Source organism: Homo sapiens, chromosome 8 (genome assembly GCF_000001405.40).
Source record: "Homo sapiens chromosome 8, GRCh38.p14 Primary Assembly".
NCBI classification, from domain to species: domain Eukaryota; kingdom Metazoa; phylum Chordata; class Mammalia; order Primates; family Hominidae; genus Homo; species Homo sapiens.
This window is the reverse complement of record NC_000008.11, coordinates 23,146,884-23,164,027: the sequence shown is the minus strand read 5'-3', so window position 1 is coordinate 23,164,027 and position 17,144 is coordinate 23,146,884. Positions and strand designations below refer to the sequence as shown.

At 44.5% G+C, this 17,144-nt stretch overlaps 1 protein-coding gene across 1 annotated transcript in view, besides 1 other annotated feature; it reads left to right on the top strand.

Moving 5' to 3' along the window:
* TNFRSF10D (TNF receptor superfamily member 10d) overlaps positions 1-17,144 on the top strand; it is a 28,440-nt gene continuing 11,296 nt past the window's right edge. Inside the window, exons 1-4 of the mRNA NM_003840.5 lie at positions 1-242; positions 9,049-9,154; positions 15,477-15,590; positions 16,956-17,067. Of these exons, the coding sequence (NP_003831.2) occupies positions 93-242; positions 9,049-9,154; positions 15,477-15,590; positions 16,956-17,067 (482 nt within the window). The 5' untranslated portion in view covers positions 1-92. The remainder of the gene's footprint in view (positions 243-9,048; positions 9,155-15,476; positions 15,591-16,955; positions 17,068-17,144) is intronic.
* Positions 144-263: an enhancer, noted in NCBI's record as "active region_27108". NCBI's record gives its function as "activates an Ori minimal core promoter by ATAC-STARR-seq in GM12878 lymphoblastoid cells {active_cell/tissue: GM12878}" and the evidence as "EXISTENCE:reporter gene assay evidence [ECO:0000049][PMID:35858748]".

Here is a 17,144-nt window from a genome sequence, read left to right as displayed (position 1 = left end):
AGTGTAGCTGCGAGAACCTTTGCACGCGCACAAACTACGGGGACGATTTCTGATTGATTTTTGGCGCTTTCGATCCACCCTCCTCCCTTCTCATGGGACTTTGGGGACAAAGCGTCCCGACCGCCTCGAGCGCTCGAGCAGGGCGCTATCCAGGAGCCAGGACAGCGTCGGGAACCAGACCATGGCTCCTGGACCCCAAGATCCTTAAGTTCGTCGTCTTCATCGTCGCGGTTCTGCTGCCGGTGAGTCTCCGCCGCGGTCCCTGGCTGGGGAAGAGCGCACCTGGCGCCGGGAGTGGGCAGGGAGAGAGGGGGACACGGTGGGGATGCTTGGCCCGGGTCGCCTGCGGCCGGGCATGTCTGGGCAGGACGAACCCGCCGTCGGAGTCAGGGGAAGAGTGGGGTGCCCGGGCTGGGCAGGAGCGACCGGGCCGCGAGGGAGCAGAGCGCGCGCTCCCCCTGGCTGTCCCGTGCGGCGAGGACCGCACTGAGCTGCCCCAGAGGAAGTTCCAGAATCAGCGGAGGGAGGGAGTCAAGATGGAAACCCCGGAGTGAACCTCAGGAAGCCACAGAGCGGTTGCCTCTTTCGTTCGTTCGTTCGTTCGTTCGTTCATAACGTTAACCCAGGCCGGTCGCGGTGGCTCACGCCTGTAATCCCAGCACGTTGGGAGGCCGAGGCGGGCGGATCACCTGAGGTCAGGAGTTGGAGACCAGCCTAGCCACCATGGTGAAACCCCGTCTCTACTAAAAATACAAAAATTAGCCGGACGTGATGGCGGTCGCCTGTAATCCCAGCTACTCGGGAGGCTGAGGCAGAAGGAGAATCACTTGAATCCGGGAGGCGGAGGTTGCAGTGAGCCGAGATCGCGCCATCGCACTCCAGCCTGGTCAACAAGAGCGAGACTCCGTCTCAAAAAAAAAAAAAAAAAAAAAAAAAAAGTTAGCCAGGCGTGGCAGCCTGCGCCTGTAGTCCCAGCTACTCAGGAGGCTGAGGCAGGAGAACTGCTTGAACCCGGGAGGCAGAGGTTGCAGTGAGCCGAGATTGCACCACTGCACTCCAGCCTGGGCGACAGAGCGAGACTCTGCCTTAACAAAAACAGACAAACAAACAAACAAAATTAACCCTATGTTTACACTGTTACACGTGTTTCTTGGAGATCAGTTTAACAAACAGCCTGTGAAAAAGCTTTCCAACGCTGTTTTTTGTAACTTTCATTTCCTATAGAACCCTGAAAGTGGCAGGAAGCGGTTAACCAAGGTGCTTGCAGTCAGTGTCTTCCACTGCCACCCGTGTGTCCCCTCTGTATCCCATAGGCAGGACCGCGGGATGGCCCCTTCCTTAGGCATAAAAGATGTAAAGTTCTCGTTGTGAGTTGGGTTTGGAAACTGAGATTGGTAGTGGGGTGCACAAGAAGGACATAAAAATAAGATGTGCAGACTGCCAGGACTTTTTCTGAGTGACTGACGTTTCTGCCAACAGTGCTTTCTAAGGTTTCTTACGTAATACCAAAAAACAAAACGGGGAGGATAAAACAAGATTACATGAACCATGAGAGTCTCCATGTTTTCTTTCAACGAAGTAATACTAAATTCAGAACAGCAGTGACATTTTCACCTCTCAAAAATTACACAACTGACTTCTACAATAGTTTATAGTGGGTGGACCTACCTGAGGCAGCTAGAAGAATGGCTGTGTCAGGACAGTGGCCCTGAAGAGAGAATGTGTGGATGACCTGTGTAGACAAGACCAGCAACCTGAATTTCACAGTTTTGGGAATGTGAACTCTATGCGTCCCAAAGGAGGCTTTGATCCCTCCATCAATCTTGCCTTATTAAATGCATTTCAATGCACAGTTGCTTTTTAAAATTTTGGAGCTAGCACAAATCACATTAGATGTTTTATGGCAGTACATTCAGATTGATTTTCTTTTAAACAAGGGTATTGTATTTTACTACATGGGTAAGCCACAGGTTAATTCACTGTTGCCATCTAGAGGCAGCTGGTTATATCCCATCCCGATGGGATATAACCCAAAGCAAATTTGCCTTTGCTAATTCCAACAGCATTGTACTAAATACCCTTGTATGTATCGTGTGTCCACATGTCCATGCGCACCAGCTTATTGGGCAACTCCTTAGAAGTAGAATTTTACTTCTACTTCCGTGGGATAAATCATTTCAGAAGTTTCTTTAGATGTTTACGAATTTTCTTCCAAAAGACCATTGAACTCAGCTTACACTCACACCTAGTTCACACATGTGCCTGTATCCCTACACCCTTGTTACACTTAGCTTTCATTCGTTGCTAGTCTAGGAAGTAAAAGGTGATTCATCACATTGTTATGTACTTTCATTCCTTAATGGTATTAGGAATTTTCAAGGATACGGGAGTTTTGGTAGTGGGAGTAGATGACCGGGGGATCCAGATGAGACAGCAGGGGAGGGTGGCAGGGAAGACTGAATTCCCAGCTGTGAACTTGGAGAACCGTGGTCAGCTGGGGCCAGTCCCTGCCACCTGCCACGCCTGTAAATGGAGATAAGGTCTCCATCTTCAGGCTGTCAGGAGGACATCAGATGAGCCTGGAGCTGAGCTCAGTTCCTGACCCCAGGTCCTGGCTCTGTCAGCGTTGGACTGTTCCAATCTGTGTGACAGAGGCTTCCGCCCCGCCCTTCTCTTTATCAAAGTAGGAATCGAAAAGATCCAACGGCCCAGAATCTCGGACTCTGAGGCTCTCAAGGACTCCTGAGATTGGAGGCTGGGAACAGCTGGGCCCTGCTGTGCTTCCCCTCCAGCTCTGTGACACTGGTGTGGCCCCAGCTCCTGCCTGTAAAGTGAAGAGGAGATAAAAATCTTCAGCAGCCCTGTGTAAACCTCAGAGGGCTGTGTTAGCAGGTGTGGGAGGATGAACCACATCCTCAGGGCTGGTGTCAGTCACTCCGGACTGGATCCCCAGGGCACATGTCCTCCACCCAGCAGAGGCTGCACCTGTTCCTACTTGCACCTCCATACCAGGCTCCCTGGCCTTGGGGCAGAAGCTTCTGAAGACTGGGGTGGAGCACCATGTGGAGGGGCCATCGAGGAACAGAGGAGCCAGAGTTCAAGTGAGGACAGCGATGGCACTGCAGGGCCACAGCCTGGTTTACCTGCCAAGTTTCCAGTTGTGCTTCTGGTGGGTGTCCGGCCCGGGTTGGAGTTTGAAGATGAGCAGGAAAGGTCTCCATCCAGGTGGCTGCAGATGGCTGCTCACCCAGCCCCTACTGAGAGGCCACGGTCCCAGTTCTGGTTCTCTGTCCTGTATCCAGGAGTGGCAGGGTAGCGAGGCTCTAGCTTCCAGGTTGGGGATGGAGACAGTGGGGACAGTGCCATGCCCCGAGCCTGTGCTGTTGGGCAGCTGGTATCCTGCTCCCAGCCAGAGAGTGTACATCTTCGTGTAGTGGATTTTCCTAACAACCAGGGGACATGAGGGCAGGTTGTTTTCCCTGTTTTACAGGTGGCAAAATGAGATTCAGGAGCAATGTCTCCAGCATTTTTGTCCTCACCTTCTGAATAATAGCAGCCATATTTGGGCCTCTGAAGGGCTAGAGTTCTCTGAGGAGCTGCTTCTCTGATCTCTGTCCTGCACTTGGCCTCTGGGAGCTCCTATGGGTCCTCAGCAGAGTCCACAGGGCTCTTCGGAGTCCCCTCCCTGTGCCACAGCCTGGAGCCTGTCCTTAGGTGGTAAGCTGAGGCCGCCACTGCGCTCACCTCATGGGCTTGGGGGGAAAGTGAGTCACCCAGGAAATAGACAATGAGCTCTTTATTGTCTTTGGAGTCTGCTGGAGCCAGGGAGGACAGATGAACCCCATGTGAATCCTGCTTCCTGGAGCCCACAGTGTGGTGGGTGAGGTGACACCAGGAATCATATAACTAATAGGAGGTAGCATGAGGGAGGCCTGATATCTCACCACCATTGCCTCCCCCTCCTCCAGAGAGGCCGTGTTGGTGCAAGGCTATAGGATGTGGTATTGTTGGCGTGGAGGATGGTGTTTGGTTAGAGTCACCATTGAGAGTCATAGAGGGAAGCGAAGCTCCCCTTGAAGGGCTTTTTTTTTTTGGCTGGACCTGAGAATTAAATTGACATAAGACAGGTACACAGGAGAAAAGCACGTACGACTTCTTTTTTCTTGAGATGGAGTATTGTTCTGTCACCCAGGCTGGAGTGCAGTGGTGCAATCTCGGCTCACTGCAACCTCCGCCTCCCAGATTCAAGCGATTCTCCTGCTTCAGCCTCCTGAGTACCTTGGGATTACAGGTGCCCACCCTTGCGCCTGGCTAATTTTTGTATTTTTAGTAGAGACGGGGTTTTGTCATGTTGTCCAGGCTGGTCTCGAAGTCGAGCTCAGGTGATCCGCCCATCTCAGCCTTCCAAAATGCTGGGATTACAGGTGTGTGCCACCATGCCCAGCCAACACACACATTTATTTAATGCAAGTTTTACCTAGCACAGAGAAGCAGTGAGAGTCAGTTACTTATATATTGAATTGGACCAAGTAACTTGTGAAGAAGCTAGTAAATATATGGAGGCTAAAAAGCTGAGTGGTTCTGTTCTAACAAGGTCTGCACAGTAATCTCTTGGCCTCGACTTCTCATCCTTAAAAATAAGGAGATCGTCCTATGTTTCCCTGGGGACTTTCATCTCCTGCTTTTAGGAAACACAAAAGAGGTCAAAGCATCTTATTGCGCCTGCTGTTTTTCAGTAGCCTTTAACTGATAATAGTCAATGGGCCAGGGTGGGTGGGCAGGTGCGATGGCTCACATGTATAGTCCTGCCCAGGTGGGTGCATCCTTAGAGCCCAGGAGTTCAAGACCGGCCTGGGAAACATAGCAAAATGCTGTCTCAAAACCAAAAACCAAAATAAAACCAAAAACCACAGACACAGACACACACACACACACAGAAAATCATGTCGTGTGAAGGAATACAAGCAGAATGCATACCATGTGATTCCTCATCTTATTAAAATACAACTAATCTATTGTGATAAAAAGCAGAAGAAGCATTGCTGGGGACATAGGAGCAAAGCAGAAGAGAGGATTACATTGAAAAATGAAGAAACACTGCAGGACGGTAGACATGTCATTATCTTATCGCGGCGATAGTTCCACAGTGTATACGTACATCTCAACCTACCAAACTACATGCTTCAAAAATGTACACTTTGTTTCATATCCATTATACCACAATAAATCTATTTTAAAAAAACCTTCAATAGAATATAAGCACTTGAGTGTATACTGTATTCCCTATAGCACTTGCACATAGATCATGGAAATAGGTATGCATAAAAAGTCAGTACCCAGTTAAAGTGGAATTCTAAAAGGTAATTAACATTAAAATGTGCAGGGGAAAAAGGAGTAAAAAAATTAGACTAGACAACCGTAGTTTAAATGGTAAACGTATAGGTCTATTTTGACTAACAATTATTGCACTCCCTGTAAATCCACTGAGCACTACAGTTCAATGGTAGAAATGTTTGGAAGGGCTGAAAAAACAAGACTCAGCTATATCTTGTCTATATGAGATGGGCCTTAAAAGGAAGACACAGATGCTGTCTGTGGAAAGCAAATAGATGGAAAAAGATACCCCACGCAGAGTGTAAGGCCAAGAAAACTGCCGTGGCTATCTCAGTATCACATGAAGTTGATTTTGTTAGCGGTGGACGAGATCCGAGTTACCCTACGTTGAAGGCGGCGAATCCGTATGGGTCCACAGCACCTTCAGCTCTTCGCCTCCTGAGAAGAAAGAATTGGACTGAGGGGCATAAGGCAGAAGGAGAGACAGAGGCAAGTTTCAGAGCAGGAGTGAAAGTTTATTAAAAAAGCTTTAGAACAGGAAGGAAAGGAAGGAACGGAAAGAAAAGAAGGAAAGTACAACTTGAAAGATGGCCGAGCAGGTGACTTGAGAAACAGTGCACAGCCGGACTGCCTGAGTTGGGGTTTTATAGGTTGGCCTACTTCCAGGATCTTGCCTTACTTCTCCCCACTCCTGAAATCTTATTGGGAAGCTGCTGATCAGTTTCAGGTGTTTTCTATGTATTAGGAGACTGCCTTTTTCTGGCATTGGCTGTAACCAGTTCTTACTTTAGAGACACGGTTATCAACCACCTGATGGTCGCCCAACACTGCTGGTGTCAGAAGCGGGGAGCCCTCTCCTACCCTGCTCATACCTGACTAGCTGCCTACTGTAACAATTTTAGGACATAGAATATTATGGGAGCTCAAAAGGGACCCTTGTAGTTAAAAAGGTTAATTCTTCAAGGAGTATAATAATAATCACAAATTGTATATGCCTAGTAATACAGCTGCAGAACACATGATGCAAAAAGAGAATGAAAAGGAGATTAAATCAGCTGTTTCTCTGTAATTGACAGAACGGTCAGATGAAAACCCCGGTAAAGTGGCAAGCGATCTGCACACTATCAACCACCTTGACTTAACTGACATTTAAAGAGCAGGAGTGGAACATCCACTGAACACTGATTCCTTTCTATGCTCATGATACTTTCACCAAGATAGACTGGGTTCTGGGATATAAAACACGCGATATGACCTCTAAACTTAATGAAACGAGACTGGAAGTCAGTAATAGTATCCATAGGGAATTCTAAAATTTGGTTATTGAACAATACACTTCTAAAAAATCTGTGGTTCAGAGAAGAAATCAAAAGGGAAGGTAAAATGTTTCAAAATAAATAATAATAATATAACAGCAAAACTGGTGGGAAATGGCTAACAGTGCTCGGAGTGAAATAATACAGCTTTCAATGTGTCTATTAAAAAAATTGGGGAGATGGGGAGTTACTCCTGAAGGGTATGCAGTTCCTTTCTGGAGTGATAAAAACATTCTAAGATTGATTATAGTGATGATTGCATAGCTATGAGTATATTAAAAAACTACTGAAATGTAGACTAAATGGGTGAATTATATGAATAATCATAATTACTAATTATGTGATTTGTGTCTCGTTAAAGCTGTCAAAAAAAGAAAAATATGTGAAATTTATGGCCTGAAGATCTACATTAATCAATCATAAAATATAAGCATAAATTTAAACCAAAGTAACAAGGAGGAACATAAATCAAGGAAATAGAATAGAAACCACAAAAAGAACTGACAAAACGGACTGTGTGTGGTGGCTTACGCCTGTAATCCTAGTACTTTGGGAGGCTCAGGCAGGCAGAACGCTTGAGCTCAGGAGTTAGACCAGCCTGGGCAACGTGATGAAACCCCAGCTGTATAAAATACACCAATATTAGCCCAGGCATTGGGGCACTCTCCTGTCTGTGGTCCCGGCCACTTAGGGACTGAGGTTGGAGGACCACTTGAGCCCGGGAGGCAGAGATTGTAGTGAGCAGAGATTACACCACTGCACTCCAACCTGGATGACAGAGGGAGATCCCGTCTCCAAAAAAGAAAAAAAAAAAAAAAGAGTTGAGAAAATGAATAGTTGCTCTTGAAAAGGAGTAAGGGTGTGAGAGCAGAGAAAGGTGACAGAGACATCGCCTGAACCTAGAGGGACCCCAGCTCTAGAAGGGAGGATTTGGGAAATGTGCATTAGCTTCACTGTCACCAACTACTAGGCAGGCTTTCATGTGGAAGAAAGCTACATTTTGTCTTGCTGAGAGCCAGGTAGTTGAACAGAGCCCAAGGTAAGTAGCTTTTATTGTAACCATTTTGTTTTTTCTCAGGAGCAAGATTATATTAAATTTAATTAAATGTAAATTTACAATTAAATTAATTTTGTACTTTTACACACTCCCAACTTAAAAGTTACAAAAACTATGCAAAAAAAATTTGAAAAATAGCTGTTGGCATGATGAAAGCTATTATTGAATTTTTCAGTGTGTACTTTCTACAAACAAGGAAATTAACATCAACACATTACCACTATCTAATATGCAGACTCTATTCCGATTCTCCAGTTGTCTTCTCGTCGTCATTTATAACACAGAGATCATGGCCATAATCCCTGAATTGCTGTTTTATCTTTTTCTGTCACTCTTTGATATTTAGTGGGAACAGCTTGTCAAGGTCCTTTGTGAAGCAGAAATTACTTAATGTTTGATGCTATATCCTGACTTTCTTTAAGGTTATATTGTAACCCTCATTTGTAAAAATGTGTATTTTTATGTGTGTGTCTGTGTGTGTGCGAGAGAGAGAGAGAGAGAGAGAATATTCACCCACTGGTCAATTAAACACTTGGTCAAACTAAATACATTAGATGCTATTTCTGCTTGAAGGGCTCATATGTGTGGTTTTTTTGTTTTTTGTTTTTTGTTTTTTTTTTTGAGACAGAGTCTCGCTCTTTCGCCCAGGCTGGAGTGCAGTGCAAGCTCCGCCTCCTGGGTTCACGCCGTTCTCCTGCCTCAGCCTCCCAAGTAGCTGGGGTTACAGGTGCCCGCCACCATGCCCAGCTAATTTTTTGTATTTTTAGTAGAGACGGGGTTTCACTGTGTTAACCAGGATGGTCTCAATCTCCTGACCTCATGATCCACCCACTTTGGCCTCCCAAAGTGCTGTGATTACAGGCCTGAGCCACCGCGCCTGGCCTTTTGTGTTCTTATAAAATCTTTTCTTGCCAACTACAGTGGTGTGTTCCTGTTACCCAACTTGCTTGGGAGACTGAGGCGGGAGGATCACTTGAGGCCAGAAGTTCCAGGCTGTAGTAGACTATGATCACACCTGTGAATAGACACTGCATTCTAGCCTGGGCAACATAGCAAGACTCTATCAAAAAAAAAAAAAAACTCTTCTGCTCATATTTTCTGGGGTAAATATATTTTATGTTATAATATGATAAAAGGATACGGAGGTGTTTTTCTTTATAGAAAATAGCTACCTAACAGGCCAGGGGACAAACACGGATGCAAAAGAATGAAAGTTTGGAATGGGAAAAAAGTCCAGGCTCTCATGGGTTTTGTCACTTGGGGTGAAGGGAATGTGAGACGGAGCCTGGGAGAGGTAAGGTCTGGAAGCCACTCAAGCCCATCTCTGCCTTGTCCCCACAGGTCCGGGTTGACTCTGCCACCATCCCCCGGCAGGACGAAGTTCCCCAGCAGACAGTGGCCCCACAGCAACAGAGGCGCAGCCTCAAGGAGGAGGAGTGTCCAGCAGGTGCACTCTTATTTTTAAAAATCAGTTTATTTTTAGTTGACAGATAAACATTGTATATATTCATGGTGTACACCATGATGTTTGGAAATATGCACGCATTGTGAAATGGCTAAATCAAGCTAATTCACATACTTATCGTGTATTTGTTGTAAGAACACTTAAAAGTCTACTCAGCAATTTTCAGCTGTATGGATACAGAGCCCTGGGATAAGCCCTCTTTGCCCTCCTCACCTGTGGGTTCTGTAGCCATCCTCATCTGTGGGTGTTGCATCCGTGGTTGCAACCAACACAGATCAAAAATATGTGGAAAAAATAATGAAAATGATAACATGTCAATAAAAGTAGATAAAAAGCAATGCAGTAAAGCACTTATTTACATAGCATGTCTATTGCATTAGGTATTACAAGTAACCTAGAAATGATTTAAAGCATATGTACCTGGGGTGTATGCAATACTATCCCAATTTGTATCAGGGACTTGTGTAAGTGCAGAGTTTGTTCCATGGAATATATTCCCTGTGAATAGAAGGCAGGACTGTACAACACATTGTTTTAATAACTGTAGTCACCATGTCACACAATACATCTCTTGAATTTATTTCCCCCTGTCTAACTGAAATTTTGTATCCTTTGACCAGCATCTCTCCAACCCACCGTGCAAATACAGCGCTGGTAATCACCATTCTACTCTCTACCTCTATGAGATCAAGTTTTAAGATTCCACATATGTGAGATCATGAGGTGTTTGTCTCTCTGTGCCTGGCTTATTTCACTTAGCATGATATCTCCAGGTTCATCCATGCTGTCACAAATGACAGAATTTCCTTCTTTGTTGAGGCTGAATAGTATTCCATTGTGTCTATGTACTACATTTTCTTTACCTTTTCATCATCGATGGACACTTAGGTTGATTAATGTCTTGACCATTGTAAATAATGCTCCAATGCACATGGGAGGGAAGATACCTCTTTAACATACTGATGTCATTTCCTTTGGATGTATACACAATACTGGGATTGCTGGATCATATAGTTATTCTATGTTTTGTTTTTTGAGGAACCTCCATACTGTTTTCCATAATGGATGTACTAATCTCCATTCCCACCAACAGTGTACCAGTGTTCCTTTTTCTCCCCATCATCATCAACACTTGTTATCTTTTGTCTTTTTGGTAATAGCCATTTTTACAGGTGTGAAGTGGTATTTCATTGTGGTTTTGATTTGCATTTCCCTGATTAGTGATGTTGAGCATTTTTTTCATATACCTGTCGGCCACTTCTATGTCTTCTTTTTAGAAGTGTCTCTTCAGGTCCCTTGCCCATGCGTCCGTTTTAATTGGATTATTTGATTGCATACTATTGAGATGTTTGAGTTCCTGTGTATTTTGGATGTTAACCAAAATCTTGGATCTTTTGGATATTGATCTCTCATCCTGTATGTTGTCTCGTCACTCTGTTCATTGTTTCCTTTGTTGTGCAAAACCTTTCTAGTCTGATATAATCTCATCTGTCTATTTTTGCTTTTGTTGCCTGTGCTTTTGGGGTCATAGCCAAGAAATCAATGCCCACACCAACGTCATGAAGATTTTCCCCTATGTTTTCTTGTAGTAGTTTTACAATTTCAGGGCTTATGTTTAATCTTTAGTCCATGTTGAGTTGATTTTTACATATGATGTGAGATAAGGGTCTTATTTCATTCTTCTGCAGGTCAATATCTACTTTCCTCTACATCATTTATTGAAGAGGCTGTCCTTTCCCCATTTTGTGTTCTTGGTATCTGTCACAATCAGTTGACTGTAAATGCATTGATTTATATCTGGGTTCACTATTTCATTCCATCAGTTTATCTTCGTTTATGCCATTACTATTCAGTTTTGATTACTATACCTTTGTAATATATTTAAGAATCAGGTAGTATGATGCCTCCATCATTGTTCTTTTTGTTTGTTTTGCTTAAGATCACTTTGGCTATTTGAGGTCTTTTGTGGTTCCATACACATTTTAGATTTATTTTGTCTATTTTGGTAAAAAATGTCATTGGAATTTTAATAGGCATTGCATTGAATCTGTAGATCACTTTGGGTCATATGAACAATTAAGCAATATTGAGTTTTCTAATCCATGAACATGTACTGTCTTTCCATTTATTTTTGTTACTTTCCGTTTCTTTCATCAATATTTTACAGTTTTCACATCTTCCACCTCTGTCACAAATTTATTTAAAAGAGTTGCTGCCTTGACATCCATTTTTAGGCCCAATGTAAGTTGTTTAAAACCCAATCATACCACAGCATCTTTTGCCCAATTAATAATTCCTTTCCCTGTTCAATTGTTTTTGATCTAGCACATTTGTTCATCATCTCCCTGACCCCAAACCCAACACATCCCACAGGAGCTGACTACAATAAAACCTAATGGTTCACAGCAGAGCAGTGTGAACCTTCTTTGCAGGTGTTGTCTTCCACAATCCCTGTGGGAAAGCCTGGGGTATAATGCCCATGGATCTTTATAAAGGTGTAGTCCCACGGGTCCTCTCTCTCTGTCTCTTGCTCCCCACACACCGGTTAGTGTCCTCGGACTGGATAGCTCCCCACTTCCCGTAAGTGCTGCAAAGTGTGCTATCCTCTTCTCTCTGGAGTCTGTAAGTAATACACCACTTCTGTGTTTCCTGTGTTTTGTTGTGTTGCTTCCTCTGTGTTTTCCCTAATTGACACATCTGAACCTAACATCCTTCTCCATCTTGGCTCTCTTAAAGAGTGGCTGTCTCCTAAAGAGTAGAGATAACTTAAAACTGGACATAGGTCAGACAAGAGCCACCAGGTCTACTGCTAGTAAAAGTAATTGTCTTGTGGAAGGGACATGTACAAGATGAACACCCAATTAGGCATTAGACAGTCCACCGGGACAAATAAGTTTCCTGTGAACATCCATGATGAAATCTCCTGGATCCCCCCCAGGGCAAGGCTAGAATTTATAGCCACTCTACAGAGAGAAACCTCAAGACCAAATTAGAAAAAAATACAGCCACCACCTTGGTTAAATTTATTCCTAAGCATTTTTTTTGTAGCTATTATAAATGGGATTTTTCAGATAGTTTCTTGTCAGTGTATAAAAACACTACTGAATTTGTAAGTTAGGTTCATGTCTAACTTTATTTTACACTGATAACAATTTATCTTTGATCTCATAAAAAACTTGACACCTTTTCTTCTCCTGCCTTATTTTATGTTTTGTCATTATTTACGTCTTTTTATGTTGTGTATTCCTTAACAAATTGTATTAAGTATCATTTAAAAAAATACATTGGGCTTTTAACTTTTATAGTAATGATGTAAGTAATTTGTACACTATTATGATTGTATTAGAATATTCTGAACTTGACCATGTATTTAACCACCTAGTTTTATATTTTCGCATGGTTTTGTGTATCCAGTTAGTGTTCTGTTCTTTCAGATTGAATAACTCTCTTTAACATTTCTTGTAAGGCAATACATGCTAAAGATGAACTCCCCCCGTTTTTTTTTTTCTTTGTCTGATAAAGTCTTTACTGCTCTGCATTTCTAAAGGACAGGCTTGCCAGGTGTAGTATTCTTGGTTGGCAAGGAATTTTTCCTTTCTGTACTTTGTATGATTCCACTCTCTCCTGGCCTGTAGGTTTTCTGCTGAGAAGCCTTTGGTAGTTTTATAGGGGTTCCTTTGTACATTGCTTGTCTCTTGCTGGTTTCAAAATTCTCTTTGCCTTTGATGTTTGGGAATTTGTTTAAGATGTGTCTTGGTGAAGATCTCTTCATATTTATCTGTTAGGGGTTTTTTGGGCTTCATGAATGTGGATGTCCATTCCCATCCTGTTTTGGGACATTTTCTTTAATTATTTCTTTAATTACACTTTCTGTTCCTTTCACTTTCTCTGATGCTCCTTGGACCACCATAATGCATATATTGTTTTGCTTCACAGTAACCGTTGGTACTGTTGGCTTTCTTCCCTCTTTTTCATTCTTTATTTTTTTTTTCTTCCTGTGACTTGGTAATTTCAAATGATCTGTTTTCAAGCTCACTGATTCTTTCTTCCGATTAATCAACTCTGCTGTTGACATTCTCTGTGGAATTTTCTTAGTTCAGATATTGTGTTGTTGTTAATTTTAGAATTTCTGCTTTCTTCTTTATTATGTTGTCTGTGTATATTAAACTACTCATTTTGTTCATGTATTGTTTTCCTGACATGACTTAGTTGTCTATCCATATTCTCTAGTAGCTGACTGAGCTTCTGTAAGATGACTGTTTTCAAGTCTTTGTCAGGCTGTTGTAAATGTCTATTCCTTTCGGGTTGGTTACTTGTGCTTCATTTTGTTTCTTTGGTGCCGTCACTGTTCCCTGATTGCTCAGGAGCCTGTGGCAATATGTTGGAATGTGCACTTTGAAGAAGCAGGGACTTAATCCAGTATTTACAGACTGGCTTTGTCAGGGAACGCCCTTCACCAGTCAGCCTGTTCACAGATTCTGGGCAGGCCATGTGGTGTGGTTCAAGGGTGGTCAGAGCCAGTATCCAGAGAGGTGACCTGAGGCCTGGCTCCATGAGGGCTGAACTGGCACTGGAATAGGCCTTGTACTTGGGTCTGCAGATGTCAGCCAGGTGCTGTGATGGGTCTCATCCTTGGGTCCACAGGGAAGGGCCTGGAGCCTGAGTTCATGGGGACTGACCTGGCACTAGGACAGATCTGGAAGCTGAATCTATGGAGGTGGGTCAGGATCCTGGGTCTGTAGTGCTAGCCCGAAGGCACAAGCTAAGACTGATATCTTAGCTTATCATGCCTTTATCATGCCCTTATCTCTATGTGTTTCCAGACTTCTGTTTCCTGCACTTTCTGGTTCTTTATTCCATAGGGACATGTTGGATGATTTCTGTCAGTCAGGCACCGTGCTAATGGGATAATTATAAGAGGCCCTGCCCTCGTGGAACCTTTTCTCTGGGATAGTATTAAGACACACAGATCAAAATAACAGTCAGAAATTCCTGATAGGAACCATGAAGAAATTAAGTGATGAGTGAGACAGAGACGAGGTTGGTGGGGCCTCTCGGGGATGGTGATTTTGGCCAGTCTCCAAAGCTGGACAGGGATAGTTGTGCAGAGAGCCAGAAATGGTGCTCCTGAGCAGCCTCCCTAGGAATGACAGTCCCAGGGTGCAGGCGCTGGGGGATACCGAGCAGAGACGGGGCCACCATAGTGAGTGGACAGCAAACAGGTCAGGTGGACCAGCATGGGCAGATCACATGTAGATGAGGTTGGATTTTATTTTGTTATTTTATTTTATTGTTAAAAAAAAAAAAAAGTAGACTGGGCGTGGCATGGTGGCTCACGCCTGTAATCCCAGCACTTTGGGAAGCCGAGGAGGGTGGATCACCTGAGGTCAGGAGTTGGAGACCAGCCTGGCCAATATGATGATACACCGTGTCAACTAAGAATACAAAAAATTAGCTGGGCGTGGTGGTGGGTGCCTGTAATCCCAGCTACTCAGGAGGCTGAGGCAGGAGAATCGCTTGAACCTGGGAGGTGGAGGTTGCAGTGAGCCAAGGTCGCGCCATTGCCCTCCAGCCTGGGTGACAAGAGTGAAACTCTGTCTCCAAAAAAAATTTTAAAAAAGATAAAATATTTCTTTTCTTTTCTTTTCTTTTTTTTTTTTTTTTTTGAGACAGAGTCTTGCTCTGTCGCCCAGGCTGGAGTTCAGTGGCACAGTCTCAGCTCACTGCAAGCTCTGCCTCCCGGGTTCACGCCATTCTCCTGCCTCAGCCTCCCGAGTAGCTAGGATTACAGGTGCCTGCCACCACGCCCGGCTAATTTTTTGTATTTTTAGTAGAGATGGGGTTTCACTGTGTTAGCCAGGATGGTCTCGATCTCCTGACCTCGTGATTCGTCCGCCTTGGCCTCCCTAAGTACTGGGATTACAGGCGTGAGCCACCGTGCCTGGCCAAAAAAAGATAAAATATTTCAAATATTTATATTGATTACATATTGAAATGTAGTGTTTTGGATATTTTTAGGCTAAAAAATAGTTAAAATTAATTTGACCTCATTCTTTGTACTATTTTAATGTGGCTTTCATAGAATTTGAATTTTGCATGTGATTTGTATTATATTTCTGTCAGCAGTGCCAGTCAAAGGTATGTAATAGTGTAATAGATGCAGAATTGATGACAAGACCAAGCCAAGAAGAGCAGATTTCTCTGTCTGGATTCCACTGAGGGCCAAAAGAGAAATTTGCCAGCCATTGTCAGCCTCTGGGAATTCTGTGGTGACTCATTCATTAACTTTTCTCTCCCTTCCCAGGATCTCATAGATCAGAATATACTGGAGCCTGTAACCCGTGCACAGAGGGTGTGGATTACACCATTGCTTCCAACAATTTGCCTTCTTGCCTGCTATGTACAGTTTGTAAATCAGGTACAGAATGTGTGGACCCCTTGCCCAGAGGTGGAGTGCATAGTGATGAGGTGGGAGCTGTAGCCGATGTGAGTCGGGGAACCAAGTTCTAGCCCAACTTGGTAGTCTTCATCATGCCCTGTTCCATGATTATGACTAGTTGATTAAAAAAAAAAAATAGAAATCTTTTTTTTCTTTTCTTTTATTTATTTATTTTTTTGAAGACAGTTTCACTCTTGTTGCTGAGGCTTGAGGGCAATGGCATGATCTTGGCTCACTGCAACCTCTGCCTCCCAGGTTTAGTGATTCTTCTACCTCAGCCTCCTAAGTAGCTGGGATCACAGGCATGCACCACCACACCCAGCTAATTTTTTTTTTTTTTTTTTTTTTTTGGGAGACGGAGTCTCGTTCTGTTGTCCAGGCTGGAGTGCAGTGGCGCGATCTCGGCTCACTGCAAGCTCCGCCTCCTGAGTTCACGCCATTCTCCTGCCTCAGCCTCCTGAGTAGCTATGACTACAGGTGCCCGCCACCACACCCGGCTAATTTTTTTTTGTATTTTTAGTAGAGACGGGGTTTCACCGTGTTAGCCAGGATGGTCTCGATCTCCTGACCTCGTGATCCACCCACCTCGGCCTCCCAAAGTACTGGGCTTACAGGCATGAGCCACCGTGCCCAGCCAGTTTTTTGTGTTTTTAGTAGAGACAGGGTTTCTCCATGTTGGCCAGGCTGGTCTCGAACTCCCGACCTCAGGTGATCCGCTTGCCTCAGCCTCCCAGAGTGCTGTGATTACAGGTGTGAGCCACTGCGCCTGGCCAAAATCTTTTCTGTAATGCATGCCACCAGGCTGGGAAATCTTCTAAACTATTGCCTGCAGCCGGGTGGGGGCATCATTACAGCATAGAGGAGGCCTGGCCCAGTGGACAGGGCTGGGTTCCAGCAGTGGCACAGGTCTGCTCCGTGGCCAGGCTCTCTCCTCCCGGGCTCTGTGCTCCTGAAAGGTGCTTGGCCTCACTTAGCCTTCAGGTTCTCAGGCCCCTTCCTCTTCCCCAGCAAGGCCGGGGCTTTTGGGAAGTCCCCCAAGGGCCCCTCTCCTTGCAGAGTCTCTCAGGTGATGCCCTTGCGCCTCCCTTGCTACTGACCATGCCATCTAAACAATGCTTTTCCCCTAACCTGATATAATAAATAATGAATCACGGTCCTTTTGTATTGGTCCTTACATACAGGGTGGGTGTCCTGTATGAGTCCCGAGTGTGCTGGTGCAGAAACCAGCCCTCAGAACTCCTTGGTGAACTGAGTTGAGCTGAGTGGGAGGGGATGGGGTGGTGAGGAAGGGTGGACAGACATGTCAGGGAAACACATTCTCAAAACCTTATGCTCTGTTGTCAGGTCAAACAAATAAAAGTTCCTGTACCACGACCAGAGACACCGTGTGTCAGTGTGAAAAAGGAAGCTTCCAGGATAAAAACTCCCCTGAGATGTGCCGGACGTGTAGAACAGGGTAAGACAGCAGCCAGGGGCTCCCAACAGCTTTCAGGAACCTGAAAAGACCTGATTCACCTGGTACCTCTATCTCTC